The 15,862-nt window shown below is 40.8% G+C and overlaps 1 long non-coding RNA gene across 2 annotated transcripts in view, besides 4 other annotated features; it reads left to right on the top strand.

The window, feature by feature from the left end:
- TACR1-AS1 (TACR1 antisense RNA 1) overlaps positions 1–15,862 on the top strand; it is a 125,490-nt gene that overhangs the window by 49,848 nt on the left and 59,780 nt on the right. The gene's annotated exons all lie outside the window — the stretch shown is intronic.
- Positions 9,594–10,594: an enhancer, noted in NCBI's record as "NANOG hESC enhancer chr2:75440885-75441885 (GRCh37/hg19 assembly coordinates)". NCBI's record gives its function as "activates a minimal SCP1, AML or CMV promoter by ChIP-STARR-seq in naive H9 embryonic stem cells {active_cell/tissue: H9 hESC(naive)}" and the evidence as "EXISTENCE:reporter gene assay evidence [ECO:0000049][PMID:30033119]".
- Positions 12,986–13,485: an enhancer, noted in NCBI's record as "H3K27ac hESC enhancer chr2:75444277-75444776 (GRCh37/hg19 assembly coordinates)". NCBI's record gives its function as "activates a minimal SCP1, AML or CMV promoter by ChIP-STARR-seq in naive H9 embryonic stem cells {active_cell/tissue: H9 hESC(naive)}" and the evidence as "EXISTENCE:reporter gene assay evidence [ECO:0000049][PMID:30033119]".
- Positions 13,518–13,693: a silencer, noted in NCBI's record as "fragment chr2:75444809-75444984 (GRCh37/hg19 assembly coordinates)". NCBI's record gives its function as "represses an EF-1alpha promoter that drives an FKBP-Casp9 reporter gene in an ReSE screen in phorbol 12-myristate 13-acetate-treated (for megakaryocytic differentiation) K562 erythroleukemia cells {active_cell/tissue: K562(+PMA)}" and the evidence as "EXISTENCE:reporter gene assay evidence [ECO:0000049][PMID:32094911]".
- Positions 14,882–15,629: an enhancer, noted in NCBI's record as "OCT4-NANOG hESC enhancer chr2:75446173-75446920 (GRCh37/hg19 assembly coordinates)". NCBI's record gives its function as "activates a minimal SCP1, AML or CMV promoter by ChIP-STARR-seq in naive H9 embryonic stem cells {active_cell/tissue: H9 hESC(naive)}" and the evidence as "EXISTENCE:reporter gene assay evidence [ECO:0000049][PMID:30033119]".

The following is a 15,862-nucleotide window of genomic DNA, read 5'->3' on the forward strand; positions in this document are numbered from 1 at the left end:
AAGCTCTTTAGTTTAATTAGGTCCTATTTGTCAATTTTTGTTTGTGTTGCAATTGCTTTTGGCATCTTTATCATGAAATCTTTGCCAGGGCCTATGTGCAGAATGATATATCCTAGGTTATCTTCCAGGGTTTTTATAGTTTTACATTTAAGTCTTTAATACATCTTGAGTTAATTTTTGGATATGGTGTAAGGAAGTGGTTCAGTTTCAGTATTCTGCATATGGCTAGCCAGTTATCCCAGCGCCATTTATTGAATAGGTGCTGTTCTAATGGTCCATGTGTCTGTTTTTGTACCAGTAGTATGCTGTTTTGGTTACTGTAACCTTGTAGTATAGTTTGAAGTTGGATATGTGATGTCTCTAGCTTTGTTCATTTTGTTTAGAATTGCCTTGGCTATTCAGGCTCTTTTTTGATTGCATAGGAATTTTAAAATTGTTTTTCTAATTTTGTGAAGAATGTCATTGGTTGTTAGGAATAACATTGAATCTGTAAATTGCTTTGGGTAGTTTGGCCATTTTAGCAATACTGATTCTTCGTATCTAAGAGCATGGAATGCTGTTTCATTAGTTTGTGTCATCTCTGATTTTTTTGAGTAGTGTTTTGTTGTAGAGATTTTTGTTGTAGAGATCTTTCGCTTCCCTTGTTAGTTGTATTCCTAGGTATTTTATTCATTTTTTGGCTATTCTTGATGAGATTGAATTCTTGGTTTGGCTCTCAGCTTCGATGTGGTTGGTATGTAGAAATGCTACTGATTTTGTACATTGGTTTTGTATCCCGATACTTTGCTGAATTTATCAGATCTAGGTGCTTTTGGGCAGAGACTATGGGGTTTTATAGGTATCATCTGCAAACAGAGATAGTTTCATTTCCTCTTTTCCTATGTGAATGTCTTCTATTTATTTCTCCTGCCTGGTAGCTCTGGCTAGGACATTCAGTGCTATGTTGAATAGGAGTGGTAACATTGGGCATCTTTGCCTTGTTCCGGTTCTCTAGTGGAATGTTTCCAGTTTTTCCCCATTCAGAATGATATTGGCTGTGGGTTTGTCATAGATGCCTCTTATTGTTTTGAGGTATGTTCCTTCAATACCTAGTTTACTGAGGGGTTTTAACATGAAGGGATGTTGAATTTTATCAAAAGCCTTTTCTTCATCTATTGAGACGATCATGTGGTTTTTGTTTTTAGTTTTCTTTATGTGATGAATCACATTTATTGATTGCATAGTTGAACCAACTTTACATCCCAGGGGTAAAGCCTACTTGATTATGGTGGATTAGTTTTGCTGCTGGATTGGGTTTGCTGGTATTTTGTTGAGGATTTTTGCATCAATGTTCATCAAGGATATTAGTCTGAAGTTTTCTTCTTTGTTGTGTCTCTGCCAGGTTTTAGTATGTGAATGATGCTGGCCTCAAGGAATGAATTAGGAAGTCCTTCCTCCTCAATTTTTGAGAATAGTTTCAGGAGGAATGGTACCAGTTCTTCTTTATACATCTGGCAGAATTTGGCTGTGAATCCATCTGGTCCTAGGCTTTTTCAGATTGATAGGCTTTTTATTGCTGATTCAGTTTCAGAACTCATTGGTCTGTTTAGTGATTCAATTTCTTCCTGGTTCAATCTTGGAAGGCTGCATGTTTCCAGGAATTTATTCATTTTGTCTAGGTTTTCTAGTTTGTATGCATAGAGGTGTTCATAGTAGTCTCTAAAGGTTTTTTAAAATTTTTATTTCTGTAGGGTTAGAAATAACCCTACATCTCCTTTGTCATTTCTGATTGTGTGGGGTGTTTTTTTTTGGATCTTCTCTCTTTTTTTCTTTGTTAGTCTAGATACTATTCTACCCATGTTACTCATTCTTTCAAAGAACCAACTGCTGGACTCAATCTTTTGTATGACTTTTCACATCTCAATTTCCTTCAGTTCAGCTCTGGTTTTGGCTATATCTTGTCTTCCGCTAGTCTGGAGGTTGGTTTGCTAGTTTCTCTAGGTGTGGTGTTAGGTTGGTAATTTGAGATCTTTCTAACTTTTTCATGTGAGTGTTTAGTAGTATAAACTTCCCTTTTAACACTGCTTTAGCTGTGCCCGGAGATTCTGGTATGTTGTATCTTTATTCTTTCTGGTTTTAAAGAATTTCTTGATTGCTGCCTTAATTTCATTGTCATTATACCAAATGACAATTGTACATTGTCATTTTTGTTGTACCCAAAGTCATTCAGAAGGAGGTTGTTTAATTTCCATGTAACTGTATGGTTTTGAGCAATTTTTAAAGTATTGATTTCTATTTTTATTGAGCTGTGGTCCAAGAATGTGGTTGGTATAATTTAGTTTTTGTTTTTTAATTTGCTGAGGGTTGTTTTATTGCTGATTGTGTGATCAGTTTTAGAGTATGTGCCATGTACAGTTAAGAAGAATGTAAATTCTGCTGTTTTGGGATGGAGAGTTCTGTTAGTTCCTATTGATCAAGTGTTGAGTTCAGGTCCTGAATATCTTCGTTAGTTTTCATCCTTGATGATCTGTCTAATACTGACAGTGGGGTGTTGAAGTCTCCCACTATTATTGTGTGATTATCTAAATCTTTCATAGGTTTCTAAGAACTTGATTTATGAATCTGGGTGTTCATATATATATATATATGTATATATGAACAAGAAGATCTAACTATCCTATATATTTATGTTTTAAGAGATTATTTATATATATATAGGACATATAAGGTGAGATATATATCTATATCTATCTATATGTAGGATAGTTAGGTCTTCTTGTTCCATTGAACTCCCTTTGCCATTATGTAATGCCCTTCTTTGTCTTTTTGATTGTTGTTGCTTTAAAGTATTTTGTCTGAATTTAGGATAGCAATCCTTGCTTTTTTTCTGTTTTCCTTTGCTTGGTAGATTTTTCTCCATCCCTTCACTTTGAGCCTGTGGGTGTCATTGCATGTGAGATGGGCCTCTAGTAGATGTTGGTTTTCCATTCCTGAGTTACTTCACTTACAATAATGGTCTCCAATCTCATCCGGGTTACTGTGAATGCAGTATTCCATCTCATATATATATGAGTAGCATTCCATCTCATATATATATACCACAGTTTCTTTATTCACTCATTGATTGATGGGCATTTGTTCTGGTTTCATATTTTTTCATTTGCAAAAGTTTTTCGTATATTAACTTCTTTTCCTCTGGGTAGATACCCAGTAATGGGATTGCTGGATCAAATGGTAAATCTACTTTTAGTTCTTTAAGGAATGTCCACACTGTTTTCCACAGTGGTTTACATTCCCACCAGCAGTGTAAAAGTGTTCCCTTTCTGCCCCATCCATGCCAACATCTCTTATTATTATTTTTGGAGACAGAGTCTTGCTCTGTTGCCCAGGCTGGAGTGCAGTGGCATGATCTCAGCTCACTGCAACCTCCGCCTCCTGAGTTCAAGCGATTCTCCTGCCTCAGCCTCCCAAGTAGCTGGGACTACAGACACGTGCCACCACACCTGGGTAGTTTATGTATTTTTAGAAGAGATAGAGTTTCACCATGTGGCCAGGCTGGTCTCGAACTCCTGACCTCTGGTGATCCGCCTGCCTTGGGCTCCCAAAGGGTTGGGATTACAGGTGTGAGCCACTGCGCCTGGCCCAACATCTATTTTTTTTTATTATGGACATTCTTGCGGGAGTAAGGTGATATTACATTGTGGTTTTGATTTGCATTTCCCTGATAATTAGTGATGTTGAGCATTTTTTCATGTTCGTTGGCCATTTGTATATCTTCTATTGAGAATTGTCTATTCATGTTCTTAACGCACTTGTTGATGAGATTATTATTATTTTTTTCTTGCTGATTTGTTTGAGTTACATGTAGATTCTAGATACTAGTCCTTTGTTTGATGCATAGTTTGCGAAGATTTTCTCCCACTCTATGGGTTGTCTTTTTACTCTGCTGATTATTTCTTTCTCTGTGCAGAAGCTTTTTAGTTTAATTAAGTCCCCCTATTTATCTTTGTTTTTGTTGCATTTGCTTTTGTGTTCTTGGTCATGAAGTCTTTGCCTAAGCCCATGTCTAGAACAGTTTTTTCCAATGATATCTTCTAGAATTTTTATGGTTTTAAGTCTTAGATTTAAGTCTTTAGTCAATCTTGAGTTGATTTTTGTATAATGTGAGAGATTAGGATGCAGTTTCATTCTTCTACATATGGCTTGCCAGTGATCCCAGCATCATTTGTTGAATAGGGTATCCTTTCCCCACTTTATGTTTTTGTTTGTTTTGTCAAATATCAGTTGGCTCTAAGTATTTGGGTTTACTTCTGGGTTCTTTATTCTGTTCCATTGGTCGATGGGCCTATTTTTTTTACAAGTACAATGCTGTTTTGATGACTATGGACTTAATAGCATAGTTTGAAGTCTGGTAATGTGATGTCTCCAGATTCGTTCTTTTTGCTTAGTCTTGCTTTAGCAATGCAGGCTCTTTTTTGGTTTCGTATTAATTTGAGGATTGTTTTTTCTAGTTCTGTGAAGAATGATGGTGATATTTTGATGAGAATTGCATTGAATCTGAAGATTGCTTTTGGCAGTATGGTCATTTTCACAATTGATTCTACCCACCCACGAGCATGGGATGTGTTTCTATTCAACATAGTATTGGAAGTTCTGGCCAGGGCAGTCAGACAAGTGACAGGTCTCACACAATTCCCACACAGCCTGCAAGGCCATTCTCACTCCCATCATGCCCCTGCAACAGCACTGAGTTTATTTCTAGGCAGTCAGAAGCAGGGCTGAGATGTTGCCCCAGGCCGCAAGGTTTCCCTCTGAAAAAGCAAACAGGGCTTTCAGGTTTTGCACCTCCCCACCTGCTGCGGCTTCTGTGCTTGTATCTGCATTCCGCGTTTACCCCCTTCCCCAGATTCCGTCCAGGAAACTTCATGTTCAGTCAAAATTATTACAAAGTTCACCTGGAAGTTTTCTTCTCTCTGTGGTGTTTCCTCAATTACACTGGCAGCCCTCCCCAAAGACCTGGGAGACAAACTCAGAAACTGCTTCCCTGGGGACCGAGAGTGCCCACAGGGCTCTTCCCACTGCTTCCTCTCCCTGCATTTTTTGCTCAGCTTTCAAATTCTGGTTCAGCCCCAGGTAAGGTCAAATACTCCTGCTATGATCTGGACTTTCAGTTTTCCCTGTGAGGATGTATGTTTGGGGGTGGATGTTTTCCCTTACACTCTACAGACACTCGCAGTTTTTCAGCTGTCCCATGGGGCCTGCAGTGGTAAGCTGCCTCTTTCAAAGAGGTCTGTGGATTCTCTTGGATTTCCTGGTGTGTTCCTGCAGTAGTTCTTGGAGCAAAGGTTAATTGTATGAGTCTCCACACACTGCTGTGTCCGTCCAAGAGGGAGTTGCATGTTAGTCCTGCCTCCTATCTGCCAGTTTCCTCAACCCTGTAGAATCTGATGACTATGTATCTTGGTGGTGGTAACCTTGTATAGTATCTCACAGGGGTTCTCTGCATTCTCTGAATTTGAATGCTGGCCTCTCTGCCAAGGTTGAGGAAATTTTTATGCATGATATCCCCAAATATGTTTTCCAAGTTGCTTGCTTTCTCTCTCTCTTTTGAGGATGCCAATAAATTGTAGATTTGGTCTCTTTACATAACCCCATATTTCTTGGGGGTTTTGTCCATTCTTCCATATTCTTTTTTCTTTATTTTGTCTGACTGAGTTATTTTGGAGAATCAGTCTTCAAGCTCTGAAGTTTTTTCCTCAGCATGGTCAATTCTGCTGTTAATACTTACGATTGTTCTGTGAAATTCTTGCAGTGAGCTTTTCAGTTCTATCAGATCAGTTTGGTTCTTTCTTAAAATGGCCATATAATCTTTCACGTTGTCTTATTGTATGCCTTAGATTCATTGGATTGGGTTTCAACTTTCTCCTGAATCTCCACGATCTATGTTCCTATCCATATTCTGAATTATATTTCTGTCATTTCAGTCTGGTTAAGAACAATTTCTGGGAAACTAGTGCCGTCATTATTTGGAGGTAAGAAGACACTGGCTTTTTGATTTGTCAGAGTTCTTGTGCTGGTTCTTTCTCATCTGTGTGAGCTGATGTTTCTTCAGTCTTTGAAGCTGCTATCCTTTGGATGAGTTATTTTGCTTTTCTCTTCTATGATGCCCTTGGAGGTTTGATTTTGGCGTAATGTGGGTTCAGTCTACTGGATTCACTTCTGGACGATTTTAGGAAACTAAGGCTCAGCTCAGCACTCCTGGGCTGCATTCTCTAATTCTGCATGGCTGGTAGCAGTCTTCTGGCTTTGTTCTCTGATCACTTAAGGTTAAGAACCTTCTGCACTGGAGGGGCTGAGGTGTTCTCAGTCCATTGGCCACAACACTCTGATGAGTGGTGCTGGCTAAAGCGCTTCACTGGGGACATGGCAGTGGGATCCAGGCTTACTCGCATATGCCAGCAGCCACAGCAGTGTAGCAGGGTGCATGTGTATAGGCTGGGGCGGGATACCAGGGGGAGCAGGGTTGTAGTGTTCCTGTGTGTGCTCATGCCAGTGGCAGTGGCAGTGTGGCAGGACTCTATTTGTATTTAAATGATTGCCTTTCAAAAAGGCAATCTGTATATTTTACTAGCAGTTAAGATTATCCTTTCCCCACATCTACTCCAGTTACTAGGCTTGTTAGTTTGATCAGTCTGTTGGCTATAAAATATTGTAACACTGTTATGATAGAGTGTACATTTTCCTGACTACTACAGAATTTGAACTTCTTTAAGTTTTTTTGTTGTTGTTATTTTGTTTTCGGTTATTTGGATTTTCTTACCTATAGATTGTTTATTCACATCTCTTGCCCCTTTTCTGTTGAATTGCTTTCTAGTCATTTTTTCCTTAGTGTTCTTTGTATATTTACAGATATAAACGCTTTTCCTTTCATAAATATTTCAGATATTTACTTCTAATGCTATTATTTCTCTCTTGAATTGATACGTTTGTCACAAAAACTTACACAATTTTTATGTAGTCATATTTGCTTTAATAGTATTTAGCTTTTCCAGTATGGCTTTTTTTACATAGTGTCCCAGATTTTCTTGGTGGTTTCTTATTTTTTGCATATAGGTCTTTAATTCACCTGGAGTTTTATTATTGTATATGATTAAAAGGAAGTGAACATATTTACTTTCATTTTCTTTCATGTGGTTAGCTGGTTTTGACAGCTGCATTCATTTTCTTAGTGAATTAAACCATTATTATTGTCAAAGATTAAGTTTTCAAACATATGTGATTTAATATTTATATTCTCCAGTCATCCTACTGATCCATTTGTCTATTCCTATGGCATTGCTATATATACCACATAATTTCCTACTTTCCCTATCACTTGCAATCAGGCAGAGCCATGTGACTAATTTAGTCCAATATGTTGTGAGTGGAAATGACGTATGTCACTTCTAGTCTGAAGCATAAAAATGTGTGTGTATGTGTGTGAGAGAGAGAGAAAGAAAGAGAGAGAGAGAGAGAGAAAGAGAGAAAGACAAAGAGACTACTTCATGTATTCTCTTTCCTCTACCAAGCCCCCTTGTTCCAAATGATCCAGCTACAAGATGGAAGGTCTCTATCACCTTGAATTGCCAAGTGACTGTGTAGCACAGACCCCTGTCAAATCATTACGGACACGCAGCATGAGCAAGAAATAAACTTTTGTTGTGTTAAGGCACCAGAGCTTTGGATTAATTTGTTACTCACCATGCAATAACTCATCCTGACTATTACAGGAATAAAGATTCTGATATTTGGTAAGACAAGTTCACCTGAATGGTCATTGAATGCTTTTCTTATTTATTTCTGGGAACGACATTTAAACTTGAATATTTTTTATTCAATTAAACACCCCGTGCCAGTTGACTGGCTTCATTTCTGGAAGATTTTAGGGGACTAAACTGCAGTAGAATTAGTATTCTAATTGAAACTGTCTGAAATTTACTTGTTAATTTTGACAATATTTATATTTTTGATATTACATTTTTTCATCCAGGAACATGATATGCCTTTCTGTTTCTTTAGGTCTCATTTTATATCTTTCAAAAATGATTTTATAATGTTGGCTAAAATAATTTTAGTCTTTTGATTAACTTCATTTCCATGTATTTTGTTGGTTCTGTTTCTATTGTAAATGAAATACATTTTTCCATTTCTTTGTTAGATCAAACCTATTGACTTCTGTGTGTGTGTGTGTGTTTATGCATGTGTGTGTGTGCATTTATGCATGTATGTATATGCTGTATATCCTAGCCATTTTACTAATTTTTGAATTTATTCTAGTGGTTTATTGAGTTTCCCTAGTTTTCAAGCACATAACTAGTATTTTCTTGTCTCACTTAATTTCCTTTACCTTATCAAGACAATGTTAAATTCAAAATAATACCAAGGGCTGGGCATGGTGGCTCACGCCTGTAATCTCAGCACTTTGGGAGGCTGAGGCAGGCAGATCACCTGAGGTCAGGAGTTCGAGACCAGCCTAGCCAACACAGTGAAACCCTGTCTCTACAAACATAAAACAAGAGCGAAACTCCATCTCAAAAAAAAAAAAAAAAAAAAAGATACCAGGTATTTCTGCATAGGTTTCAAATTTAAATTAATGTTGCTTTAGTTTTTTTTTTTTTTACCATTTAGAATAATATTTCTTATTAAATTTGCTAAATAATCTTTATGTTTTATAGTTTATTTCTACTTTATTTTTTACTCTGAAGTATTAATAGAAATGGCTTATTTCTTTTATTTTTAAATGCCTTTTTCAGAATCTGTTGATGATTGTGTAAGTTTTTCCACTAACTTACTGACATAATGGATTAAGTGGATATACTTCCCCACGCTGTTCCTAATACTGACCCGCCATTGCATTCCTGGCGTCAGTTCTGCTTGGTCAGAGGCTAAGTCATTCCTTTGATATATTGCTAGATTCAACTTGCTAATGCTTTATTTTGAATTTTTGCATCTATTTCTCTATGTGAGATTGTGTATAGATTTTTTTCTTTACTTTTCTCTCTTGATCAGGTTTTAGAATTAGTGTTTTGTATTAAAAAATGAAGTTAGAAGCATCTCATCTTCAACTATAGCCAGAAATAATTTCAGTCCTAGTCCCTGAACTAGCAGCACTGGCATTACGAGGAATTGGTTGCAAATTCTTGAACAGATCCAGGACTACTCAACCAGAATCTGCATTTTATTGATTTATATGCACATTAAGGTTTGAGGAACTTAAAATAGGTCCAATGTTTTCCAAATTATCAGATGATATGAAGCTCTTGAGGTGATTATTAAATAAACATTATTATATTCCCTTGAAAATTCTGATTTAGTTTGTCTGAGCTGGAGTTCAGCAATCTGGGTTTTTAACAAGTCCCCTGAATAAGTCTTATCTTCAAGCAAGTTTGGAAATATGTGAGTCTTTTATTTTAAATCCAGCATGAAACTAGGTGAGTCCTTTCTTCATCTCAAAGAAATATTCCTTTAGTATTTTTTGAAATTACTACCTCTTCTTCATCGGTCCTTTTTTTCTCCTTTGGGAATTTTATTGCTGGCATGCTATGTTTCATGCGCGTCCGTGTGAAGAGACCACCAAACAGGCTTTGTGTGAGCAACAAGGCTGTTTATTCCACCTGGGTGCAGGTGGGCTGAGTCCGAAAAGAGAGTCAGCGAAGGGAGATAGGGGTGGGGCCGTTTTATAGGATTTGGGTAGGTAAAGGAAAATTACAGTCAAAGGGGGGTTGTTCTCTGGCGGGCAGGAGTGGGGGTCGCAAGGTGCTCAGTGGGGGTGTTTTTTGAGCCGGGATGAGCCAGGAAAAGGACTTTCACAAGGTAGTGTCATCACTTAAGGCAAGGACCGGCCATTTACACTTTTGTGGTGGAATGTCATCAGTTAAGGCAGGGCAGGGTCTTTTCACTTCTTTTGTGATTCTTCAGTTACTTCAGGCCATCTGGGCGTATATGTGCAAGTCACAGGGGATGCGATGGCTTGGCTTGGGCTCAGAGGCCTGACATTTCTGCCTTCTTATATTAATAAGAAAAATAAAACAAAATAGTGTTGAAGTGTTGGGGCGGCGAAAATTTTTGGGGGTGGTATGGAGAGAGAATGGGCGATGTTTCTCAGGGCTGCTTCAAGTGGGATTAGGGGCAGCGTGGGAACCTAGAGTGGGAGAGATTAAGCTGAAGGGAGGTCTTGTGGTAAGGGGTGATATTGTGGGGATGTTAGAAGAAACATTTGTCGTATGGAATGATTGGTGATGGCCTGGATATGGTTTTGGATGAATTGAGAAACTAAATGGAATAACAGAAGGAGAAAAACAGGTATAAAAGGTCTAAGAATTGGGACGACTCAGGATATCTGATTAGAGAGTGCCTAAGGAGATTCAGCATAGTCCTGCCAGCAAAGATTATTTATTTACTTCAAGAGTTAAGAGTGGCAGTTTGGGGATAGCCCCAGGAGATATCAGCTGTGATGGCTTGGAAAAACAGTGTAAACCGGCAGTGTAAACAAGAGCAGGGCATGTATGAGTAGTTGAGAACGGTGAATAGGAGTATGACTAGACAGAAGATAGTGGGGATGACAAGTTTTTTGGGGCACAGTCTAAGTTGGTCTGGTGTCTGGAATGAGACTGGGGCCTAATAAAAGGAGCGTCTATACAGGAGCTTAAATGGGCTGTACCCTGTAGCATTCTGAGGACAGGCCTGAATTCTGAGAAGGGAAAGTGGTAAAAGTATTGTCCGGTCCATTTTAAGTTAGTGGCTGAGCTTGGTGAGGTGTGTTTTTAAAAGACCTTTAGTCCATTCTACTTTTCTTGAAGATGGAGGACCGTAAGGGATATAAAGGTTTCGCTGAATACTAAGAGCCTGAAAAACTGCTTGGCTGATTTGACTAATAAAGGCTCGTCTGTTATCAGACTGTATTGAGGTGGGAAGGCTAAACTGAGGAATTATGTCTGACAGAACGGAAGAAATGACTGCGGTGGCCTTCTCAGACCCTGTAGGAAAGGCCTGTACCTATCCAGTGAAAGTATCTACCTAGACTAAGAGGTATTTTTTAGTTATCTGACTCAGGGCATGTTGAGTAAAGCTAATTTGCCAGTCCTGGGTGGGGCAAATCCTCGAGCTTGATGTGTAGGGAAGGGAGGGGGCCTGAATAATCCCTGAGGAGTAGTAGAATAGCAGATGGAACACTGAGAAGTTATTTCCTTGAGGATAGATTTCCACGATGGAAAGGAAATGAGAGGTTCTAAGAGGCGGGCTAGTGGCTTGTACTATAAGCTTGTACTTTTGTATATGCAAAAGCATAACCTGCCTTTGCTGGTGTGTGGCGATTAGGCCTGGTGGAACCGCCATCAATAAAGCAAGCGTGATCAGGGTGAGGAACAGGAAAGAAGGAAATTTGGGGAAATGGGGTGAATGTCAGGTGGATCAGAGAGATACAGTTATGGGGGTCAGGTGTGGTATCAGGAATAATGTGGGAGGCCAGATTGAAGTCTGGGCCAGGAACAATGGTAACTGTGGGAGACTCAACAAAGAGTGAGTACAGCTGAAGGAGCCGGGGAGCAGAAAGTATATGCATCAGGTATGAGGAAGAAAATAGGTTTTGGAAGTTATGAGAACTGTAGAGAGTGAGTTGAGCATAGTTTGTGATTTTGAGGGCCTCTAAAAGTATTAAAGCAGTGGCAGCTGCTGCATGCAGACATGAGGGCTAGGCTAAAACAGTAAGGTCAAGTCGTTTGGACAGAAAGGCTACAGGGAGTGGTCCTGGCTCTTGTGTAAGAATTCTGACTGCACTAACCATGCCTAGGAAGGAAAGGAGTTGTTGTTTTGTAGAAGGTGCTTGGGTTTGAGAGATCAGTCGGACACAATTGGCAGGGAGAGCACGTGTGTTTTTATGAGAATTATGCCGAGATAGGTAACAGATGAGGAAGAAATTTGGGCTTGATTGAAGTAATGGGGGCTGTCTGTGAAGCTTTGCGGCAGTACAGCCCGGGTAATTTGCTGAGCTTGATGGGTGTCAGGGTCATTCCACGTGAAAGCGAAGAGAGGCTGGGATTAAGGGTGCAAAGGAATAGTAAAGAAAGCATGTTTGAGATCTAGAACAGAATAATGGGTTGTAGAGGCAGGTATTGAGGATAGGAGAGTATATGGGTTTGGCACCACGGGGTGGACAGGCAAAACAATTTGGTTGATAAGGCGCAGATCCTGAACTAAATTGTAAGGCTTGTCTGGTTTTAGGACTGGTAAAATGGGGGAATTGTAAGGAGAGTTTATAGGCCTTAAAAGGCCATGCCGTAGCAGGCGAGCGATAACAGGCTTTAATCTTTTTAAAGCGTGCTGCGGGATGGCATATTGGCGTTGAGTGGGGTAAGGGTGATTAGGTTTTAATGAGATGGTAAGGGGTGCATGATTAGTCGCCAAGGAGGGAGTAGAGGTATCTTATACTTGTGGGTTAAGGTCGGGGGTACAAGAGGAGGACACAAAGGAGGCTTTGGATTGGGAAGAAGGGCGGCAATGAGATATAGCTGTAGTCCAGGAATAGTCACGGAAGCAGATAATTTAGTTAAAGTGTCTCAGCCTAATAAGGGAACTGGGCAGGTGGGGATAACTAAAAAGGAGTGCTTAAAAGAGTATTGTCTAAGTTGGCACCAGAGTTGGGGAGTTTTAAGAGGTTTAGAAGCCTGGCCGTCAATACCCACAACAGTTATGGAGGCAAGGGAAATGGGCCCTTGAAAAGAAGGTAATGTGGAGTGGGTAGCCTCCGTGTTGATTAAGAAGGGGACGGGCTTATGAGAGTTACCCAAAACTCTCCACTGTGAGAGTTACCCAAAGCTCAGTGTCCGTGATGGTCTACGTGGCTTCCGAGGTGATCGGGCAGTGTCAGTCTTCAGCTGCTAAGCCGAGAAGATCTGGGAAGGAGTCAGTCAGAGAGCCTTGGGCCAGATTTCCAGGGGCTCTGGGAGTGGCTGCCAGGTAAGTTGAACAGTCCGATTTTCGGTGGGGTCCTACACAGATGGGACGCGGCTTAGGAGGAATCCCGGGCTGCGGGCATTCCTTGGCCCAGTGGCCAGATTTCCGGCACATGTAGCAAGCTCCTGTGGGAGGAGGTTCTGGAGGAACGCCTGGCCGCTGCGGTTCAGGCATTTGGAAGTTCTTGTGTGCTGGAGATGTGGCTGCGGTTTGTCTCACAGTGGAGGCAAGGAATTGCAACTTTTTTCTATTATTGTACACCTTGAAGGCGAGGTTAATTAAATCCTGTTGTGGGGTTCGAGGGCTGGAATTTAATTTTTGGAGTTTTATTTAATGTCGGGAGCAGATTGGGTAATAAAGTGTATTTTAATAAGATGGCTTTTTGACATTTTAGGGTCTAGGGCTGTAAAGTGCCTCAGGGTTGTTGCCAAACAAGTCATGAACTGGGCTGGATTTTTATATTTGATGAAAAAGAGCCTAAACGCTCTCTGATTTGGGATAAAGAAAAAGGAGCATTAACCTTGACTATGCCTTTAGCTCCAGCCACCTTTTTAAGAGTAAATTGCTGGGCAGGACGGGGAGGGCTAGTCACGGAATGAAACTGTAAGCCGGACCAGGTGTGAGGAGGGGAGGTGATAAAAAGATTATAGGGTGGAGGAGCAGAGGCGGAGGAAGAATTGGGACCTAGCTTGGCCTGGCAAGGAGCAGCCTGGGGAGGAAGGGAGAGGTCAGATGGGTCTGTAGAAAAGGAAGATTAGAAAGACTCAGCGACGCTTGGGGTTGGTACTGAGGGGACAGGTGGGAGGGAAAGAAGGAAGATATGGGACGAGTTGCACTGGGCATAGAGACTAGGAAGGGACTGATGTGTAAAAGAATGCCTGGACATCAGGCACCTCAGACCATTTGCCCATTTTACGACAAGAATTATTTAGATCTCGTAGGATGGAAAAATTGAAAGTGCCATTTTCTGGCTATTTGGAACTACTGTCGAGTTTGTATTGGGGTCAAGAGGCATTGCAGGAGAAAAGATGCTTAGATTTTAGGTCAGGTGAGAGTTGAAGAGGTTTTAAGTTCTTAAGAATATAGGCTAAGGGAGAAGGAGGAGAAATGGAAGGTGGAAGCTTGCCCATAGTGAAGGAGGCAAGCCCAGAGAAAAGAGTAGAGACACTGAGAAGGGGTAGGGGTTTCTTGCCCTCCAGAAAAGCAGAGAAAGGGTTGGGGCATGGAAATAAGGAATTGGGGCACAGAGATAAGAGGTTGGGGTGTGGAAATAAGGGATTGGGACACAGAGATAAGAGGTCGGGGTGTGGAAATGAGGGATTGGGGGTTCTTGCCCTCTAGAAAAGCGGGACTTGCCGCAAAGGGTGAAGGAGAAGGGGTTGAGGGATACTTGCCCCTCCCCCAGAAAAGCAGAGACGGGGTAGAGACAAGGAGAGAAGGGGTTGGGGTACTTGCCCCTTCTCCAGAAAAGCGGGACTTGCCGCTAAGGGTGAAGGACCAAGGCAGGCATCCCTGCGTGGTCTGACACCCTTGAAACATGGGTGAATAATCAGAGAGGTGTCCCTGCAATGATTAAACACCAAGGGAAGGCTGCCTTCCCAGTCCGTGACCGGTGCCGGAGTTTTGGGTCCATGGATAAAACCTGTCTCCTTTGTCTCTACCAGAAAATACCAGAAAATGAAAGGAATTGAAATTAAGAGAAGGGAGAGATTGAAGTTTGGCGCCAAGATTGAAAGGAGAAAGAGGTTGAGGGATAGTGAGGGAGGTTGGAGAAGAGAGTAAAAAGAGGCCGCTTACTGGATTTGAAATTGGTGAGATGTTTCTTGGGCTGGTCGGTCTGAGGACCTGAGGTCGTAGGTGGATCTTTCTCATGGAGCAAAGAGTAGGAGGACAGGGGAGTGATCTCCCAAGGGAAGTCCCCTGATCCAAGTCCCGGGTCTTGGCACCAAATTTCATGCGCGTCCGTGTCAAGAGACCACCAAACGGGCTTTGTGTGAGCAACAAGGCTGTTTATTTCACCTGGGTGCAGGTGGGCTGAGTCCGAAAAGAGAGTCAGCAAAGGGAGATAGGGGTGGGGCCATTTTACAGGATTTGGGTAGGTAAAGGAAAATTACAGTCAAAGGGGGGTTGTTCTCTGGCAGGCAGGAGTGGGGGTCGCAAGGTGCTCAGTGGGGGTGCTTTTTGAGCCGGGATGAGCCAGGAAAAGGACTTTCACAAGGTAATGTCATCACTTAAGGCAAGGACCAGCCATTTACACTTCTTTTGTGGTGGAATGTGGTCAGTTAAGGTGGGGCAGGGCATATTCACTTCTTTTGTGATTCTTCAGTTACTTCAGGCCATCTGGGCGTATATGTGCAAGTCACAGGGGATGCGATGGCTTGGCTTGGGCTCAGAGGCCTGACACTAAGTCTCCTGCATTCATTCTGTGAATGTTTTAAAAACTATTCCTGACCTCTTGGTGGTGACTAGCACTTAAAAAAATAAGATAGCACAGACTAGAAAATGTCAGAATGCATAATAGATACAGTAAGGGTAATTATCGTTTTGTAAATCTTTTATTTCATTACTTTCCTCTGTGTACAGGGTTTCAATGTAAACTCTACTTTTTGAAACATAGGTTGCCATAAAAAATATTGAAAGCAATTCTATAGGTGTCAAAAATTTTCTCATGGTTTCTATCTTTTTTTATGTTTCTGCTTTGTGCTCAAAGGTATTTATTGCATTTGATCTTCTAAGCCATTTCTTTGTGTCTTTCAATACAGCTACTGAATATTTTAGCCAAAAGTTATTGTTTAGCTTCTGAAGATCATGTTTTACTTTTACTGCACTTGAATCTCTTTAAAGATACATCATTATTATTATGTTTTACTCAGGTGTTCTTTGAGCTCTTTCA

Source organism: Homo sapiens, chromosome 2 (genome assembly GCF_000001405.40).
Source record: "Homo sapiens chromosome 2, GRCh38.p14 Primary Assembly".
NCBI lineage: Eukaryota > Metazoa > Chordata > Mammalia > Primates > Hominidae > Homo > Homo sapiens.